Source organism: Homo sapiens, chromosome 9 (assembly GCF_000001405.40).
Source record: "Homo sapiens chromosome 9, GRCh38.p14 Primary Assembly".
Classification (NCBI taxonomy): Eukaryota; Metazoa; Chordata; class Mammalia; order Primates; family Hominidae; genus Homo; species Homo sapiens.
The window spans coordinates 86,169,730-86,176,683 of record NC_000009.12 but is presented as its reverse complement, the minus strand read 5'-3'; the positions used below and the strand labels follow the sequence as shown (position 1 = coordinate 86,176,683).

General features: G+C 43.7%; 1 annotated feature.

The window, feature by feature from the left end:
- Positions 376-670: a silencer, noted in NCBI's record as "tiled region #1717; K562 Repressive non-DNase unmatched - State 24:Quies". NCBI's record gives its function as "represses a minimal TATA promoter and a strong SV40 promoter by Sharpr-MPRA in K562 cells {active_cell/tissue: K562}" and the evidence as "EXISTENCE:reporter gene assay evidence [ECO:0000049][PMID:27701403]".

Sequence of the window (6,954 nt, the reverse complement as noted above, 5' to 3'; positions counted from 1 at the left end):
AGCTTCCCCACTCCCCTGACTGCCCTTGAGCCTCTGCCAAGTGCAAATGATGGGGCTGACTCTCTCATTATACCATGCTCTGAGTCAACAGCCTCTGGCTACTCTCGTTGAGGGTGCTTCAGTTACTTCCACTGGGGAAGGCGGTGGGGGGCAGGGGGTGTGGGGGGACAGCAGCGCCCAGTGACAGCTCTGTGGGGTGGGTGCCTGGCCCTGCAGCAGTGGAGTGCTCCCTGGGATATCTTATGGTGTGGCCGATGCTCCAGCCCTCCCAGAAGCTATGTGAGCCCCCTAATATTCTATAATAATTCCCATTCTACTTCATTCAGCTAGCGGGCACCCTTGGGCTCACTGCCAAGAACACTGGTAAAATGTAAACATCCAGCACTGTCTACCTTTTGGGACAGACATCTCCCCTAAGGTCTGGGTACTGCAATGGCAGCAGAAAATATGTGTGCTATTGAGGCTGCTAGCCAGCTGTGCCCTCTGCAGCCCCTCACCAGGGAGTGCAGCCTGAATACCAACTAGCCCCAACTGTCTGATTCACAGCTTTCTTTAAGGCAGGCTGGAAGTGTCAAGGATTTTATGCCCCCGGAAGCAGCCCTCAACCACTGGCTGACCAGAATTGGTGAAAAAACATTCCGGCTTGCTCCCCTCTCTCCTCACTGATAAGTTAATTAGGTTCATGCCACCTAGGTGTGCTAACTCAGACCAAAGCAGGTTTCACAGTGACTCAATAAAACATTTACACTAGGTGTGCTAACTCAGACCAAAGCAGAAGGTGTTGCAATGACTCAATTTCACATATGTGCTCCAATTCATGGTTTATTGTGAGGGCTTCACACACCATCAATCATGCAATTAATATTCAATGCACAGGCAGTAATAAAAAGAGGATAAGGAGCCACAATGATAGCTCTGGAGACCAAGGCACCCACCGATGAGTTGCATGGGTCCAGATGCCCTTCCAACACTGGTTGGGGGGATCTCTGCTTCTCTCTGGCACAGCCTCGCCAAAGTTGGGAGAAGGCCTCAGAGTTCTCAAGGGCAGAGCCTCTGAAGGCATCTTGGAGAAGGCCAGATTTTTGCTGTCTTTATGATCCACAGTAGATGGGTCTATTCTCATTATCTCAGCCATCTTCCACTTCCCGTAGGTTGGTTTCAGGCCTGGGGTGACACCCGGCAGCAGCAGGTGCAATATTATGACCTCAGGCCATCCCATATGTTTATTGTGTTGAAGGGGAAATGACTTCACTGTGGGCTCAATGCCACTTGACGTGAGTGACTCCATTTGGAGACATTAGTGTCACAAATCATGACATCACTCACAGGGGCTACTCTGAGGTTTCCGTTCTGCATTCTCCCCGAGGCTTTCCCAAGGGGACCAGACAGAGGTACCTTTTATTGGCTTCCTTCCCTGAGTCACATTCCCACTCCACAGTAGGGATACCTGAGATCACCTCCCATTGAAAGGCTCGAACATGGATCCTCTCCTCAGGGTTGGCTTCTGGGGATGCCCAAATCTTCACAGACCTGAAAATTTTCTAACTACTTTCTCTGGTGTCAGCTCTTATCTTTTCTATGTATTCCCCCTGTTTTAAGTACTGGTGATGGTTCAGTAAGCATTATTAACTAATCAATGCACTTAAATTATGCCCAATTTTCCCACCAAATGAGTTACTTTTTGCAGCTGGTGTTATTTCTCAACTCCTGAACTTAACCCTTTCTTTCTCTCACCACCAGAATAAAGAATAGTACAAACAGTACTCTTTAGGCCAGGAGTCACAAACTCAGATACCTTCCAGGATCCAGCAGGTAATATTTGTGTGTATAGAGGCATGTGTAAGGCAACAGGGAGGATGGAACTGGGACAGCCTTGAGACGAATTCTAACACAAAGTTTATAAAACCATCTTTCTGGATGAACAAGACAAATGAGGTGGGCCTGTGGGTCCAGATTCCACCTTCTAGATTAGGTATTTTGTAGAAAACATCTCTTTCTCTTCTGTTTGTTGAGTCTTCCCAAGGGCCATGTCTAAAAATTGTCTGACATCACGGTCATGGGCACATAGGCCCCCAAAAGGATTGATAATGTTCTGGAACTCCAGTTTTGAATACACTTACCTCTGCTCAAGCAGTCTAGTTTACTCTGGGAGTCAAAAACATTGTGTTGAATGAGTCTATTATTACCTCCTAACCATTACCCTCATTCTGTGACACACTCCAACCCTATGTACACACAGGTATTGCTGAGGAGTAGGCATGGGGGGCCAACTATTTGAGTTTGCCAAGGACTGAAGAGGGTTGGGATATGTGGGACTTACAGTACTAAAACCAGGGAAGTCCTGAGCAAACCAGGATGAGTTGTTCACCCTAGATGTGGCCCTTAGCAGCTACGTGCATACTGCATGCCCCAGCCACCACGTGCATACTGCATGCCCCAGCCTTCTACTCTAGCCATAGCTGATTGGACCATAGCAGACACCTGACTGAAGAGAAGCCAACCCCTAGCCTTGGCTGAGCCAGTCAGATTCTCTCTTTCTAGGACTAGAGAGAAACAGGGAATTACAGGATGATGGAGCCTTTAAGAGATCAAGCAGATCCAGGGCCAAGATGGTCACATGGCATACAAACATGGGCTGCAATCATGAAGTCACAGAGAGACAGAGGGATCTCATCTATTAGCATTATCCTTAATGATGGAAGCCTGCATGATTTCTCCCCTAAGATCAGGAATAAGACACGGATATCTGCAATTGCTACTTCTTTTCAGCCTATAATCGAGGTTCCAGCCAGAAAAATTAGGCAAGGAAGAGAAATGAGAAAACAAGGTAATCTCAGCCAGGCGTGGTGGCTCACACCTGTAATCCCAGCACTTTGGGAGGCCCAGGCTGGCAGATCACTTGAGGTAAGGAGTTCGAGACTAGCTTGGCCAACATGGTGAAACCCCGTCTCTACTAAAAACACAAAAATTAGCCAGGCGTGGTGGTGGGCACCTGTAATCCCAGCTACTCAGGAGGCTGAGGCAGGAGAATCACATGAACCCGGGAGGCAGAGGTTGCAGTGAGCCAAGATCATGCCATTGCGCTTCAGCACTCCAGCCTGGGCAAAAAGAGTGAGACTCTGTCTCAAAAAAAAAAAAAAAAAAAGAAGAAGAAGAAAAGGAAGAGGAAGAAGAAGGGAAGAAGAAGAAAGAACAAGAGGAAAAGGAAGAAGAAGAAGAAGAGGAAAAAATCTGGAATAATTTTTTTTCTAGCTTGAAAAAAATAAATAAACTGATCTCTATTTACAAATGATATGATCTTTTATATAGAAAAAACTAAGGAATACACAAAAATATCCTAATACAAAGTTATTTTGTATTAGAACTAATACAATTGTTTATTATTATTAGAACTAATACAAAAGTTCAGCAAAGTTACAGGATACAAGATCAACATATAAAAATCAATTGTATTCCTACATATTAACAATGAATAAGAAATTTCATTTACAATAGCATTAAAAAGAATGAATACTTAGGAATATGTTTAACTAAAGGAGTATAAGACTTGTACACTGAAAACTACAAAATATTATTGAAAGTAATCAAAGACATTAATAAATGGAAAGACGGCCGGGCGCGGTGGCTCATGTATGTAACCCAGCACTTTGGGAGGCCAAGGTGGGCGGATGACCTGAGGTTGGGAGTTCAAGACCAGCCTGACCAACGTGGAGAAACACTGTCTCTACTAAAAATACAAAAAATTAGCCGGGCATGGTGGCACATGCCTGTAATCCCAGCTACTCGGGAGGCTGAGGCAGGAGAAAGGCTTGAACCTGGGAGGCGGAGGTTGCAGTGAGCCAAGATCATGCAATTGCACTCCAGCCTGGGCAACAAGAGTGAAGCTCCATCTCAAAATAAATAAATAAATATAAAAACATTCCATGTCTATGTATTATTAGAATACTTAATATTGTTAATATTAAGTTAATATTGTTAATGTAATAATACTCCCTAAATTGATGTAGAAATTAAATCCAGGGGCCGGATGCAGTGGCTCACACCTGTAATCCCAGCACTTTGGGAGGCCAAGGCAGGTGGATCACCTGATGTCAAGAGTTCAAGACCAGCCTGGCCAACATGGTGAAACCCTATCTCTACTAAAAATACAAAAAATTAGCTGGGCATGGTGGCAGGCACCTGTAATCCCAGCTGCTAGGGAGGCTGAGGCAGGAGAATCGCTTGAACCTGGGAGGCAGAGGTTGCAGTGAGCCCAGATAGTGCCATTGCACTCCAGCCTGGGCAACAAGAGTGAAACTCTGCCTCAAAAAAAAGAAAGAAAAGAAAGACATTAAATCCAATCTTTATCAAAATCCCAGCTGGCTTCTTTGCAGAAATTGGCAAGCTGATTCTAAAATTTTCATGGGATTGCAAGGGACCCAGGGTAGCCACAACAATCTTAGAAAAAAACAAAATTGGAAAAACAACATTTCCCAATTTCAAAAACGTACTGCAAAGCAAGGGTAATCGAGATAGGGTAGTACTGGCATAAGAATAGAAAAATAGATCAATGGGATGGAATTGAGAGTCCAGTTATCTACCTTCATGTTTATGGTCAATGGATTTTCCACAGGAGTACCAAGACAATTCGATGGGGAAAGAATAGTCTTTTCAACAAATGGAGCTGGGACAACTGGATATCCACATGCAAAAGAATGAAGTTGGGCATCCTACTTCACACCATATACAAAAATGAACTCAAAATGGATCACAGATCTACCTGTAAGAGCTAAAACTATAAGATACTTAGAAGAAAACAAAGGAGTAAATCTTCATAACCTTGGATTAGACAATTGTTTCTTACATATGACAGTGAAAGCCAAATAACAAAAAATAGATAAACTGAATTTTATCAAAACTAAAAACTTTTGCACTTCAAAAGATATCATCGAGAAAATAAAAAGACAACCTATGGGATGAGATAAAATATTTGTAAATCACATAGCTGATAAAGAACTTGTCTCTAGGATAATAAAGGAACTTTACAACTCAATAATAAAAAGTTGAATAACATTAAAATGTAGACAGAGGATCGAAATAGATATTTCTTTAATGAATATGTACAACTGTACAGTAAGCACATGAAAAGATGCTCGAAATCACTAGTTACTAAGGAAATGCAAATCAAAGCCACAGTGAGATGGCTAAAATAAAAAAGACAATAAGAAATGTTGACAAGGATATGGAGAAATCAGAACCTTCATACACTGTTGGTGGGAATGTGTAACATAGTGAAGCTACTTTGGAAAACAGTCTGTCAGTGCCTCAAAAAGGGCTGGGCATGGTGGCTCATGTCTGTAATCCCAGCACTTTGGGAGGCTGAGGCAGGTGGATCACCTGAGGTCAAGAGTTCAAGACCAGCCTGGCCAACATGGTGAAACCCCATCTCTACTAAAAATTAAAAAAAAAAAATTAGCCAGGCGTGGTGGTACATGCCTGTAGTCCCATCTACTTGGGAGGCTGAGGCAGGAGAATGGCTTGAACCAGGGAGGCGGCGCTTGCAGTGACCCGAGATTGCCCCATTGTACTCCAGCCTGGGCGACAAGAGTGAGACTCTGTCTCAAAGGAAAAAAAAAAAAAGGTAAACATAAAGTTACTATGTGACCCTGCAATTCCACACCCACTTGCCCAAGAGAACTGAAACATAGGTCCATAGAATGGAGAGTCCAGTTATCTATCTTCATGTTTATGGTCAATGGATTTCCCACAGGAGTACCAAGACAATTCAATCGGGAAAGGATAGTCTTTTCAACAAATGGAGCTGGGACAACTGGATATCCACATGTACACAAATGTTCATAGCAGCATTATTCATAATAGCCAAAAAGTTAAAACAAACCAAATGCCCTCACCTGATGAAAGGGTAAACAAAATATGGTACATCCACAGAGTGGAGTATTATTCAAATGTTAAAAAGGAATGAAATACTCAGAGATGTTACAACATTAACGAATCTTGAAAACATTAAGCTGAGTAAAAGAAACCATTCAAGCTGGGCACAGTGGTGCATGCCTGTAGTGCCAGCTACTTGGAAAGCTGAGGCAGGAGGATCGCTTGAGCCCAGAAGTTCAAGGCTGCAGTGAGCTATGGTTGCACCATTGCACTCCAGCCTGCACAACATAGTGAGACCTTCTCTTTTAAAAAATGTATTAAAGAAGCTACATGGTGTATCATTGCATGTATGTGAAGTATCTGGAACAGAAAATCCATAGATATTCATAAAGTAGGTTTGTGGTTGCTGGAGCTGAGGGGAAGAGAGGAAATGAGGGGTGACTGCTAATGGGTACGGGATTCCTTTTGGAGTGATGAAATATTCTGAAATTAGATAGTGATGATGGCTGCATTATTCTGTGAATACAGTAAAAAACCAAGGAATTGTATCCTTTCAAATGGTGAATTTTATGGTATGTGAATTAAACCTAGTAAAGCTATTTTTAAAAATCAGCAGAAGATGCCGGGCGTAGTGGCTCACGCCTGTAATCCCAGCACTTTGGGAGGCCAAGATCACGCCACTGCACTCCAGCCTGGCGACAGAGTGAGACTCTGCCTGGGAAAAAAAAAAAAATCAGCAGAAGAATGCAGCAGACCAAGCAGGTGGCCCATGTGAGAGGAGCCGCTGAGCCATGCCGCAGGTTCTCCAGCTCCATTTCTGTATGGCCAGCGCTGCTGCGTTCCCCTCTTGGATGTCTGAGCGACTGCATGGTGACTTCTCTCCATGAATCCCTTCTGACCTGAGCTAGCTCAAATGGGTTTCTGTTGCTTGTCCCCTAACAATTCCTAATACACGCATCATTTCTGTCCTTGATTCTGCCTGGCCACCTGTAGTTCATGTTGCCCTTCACGCCAGGGGAGGTCAAGGTTCTTGAATTCAGGCTTTAGCCTGGTAGGGAAGCATTCAAGTGTCCTCACCATCAC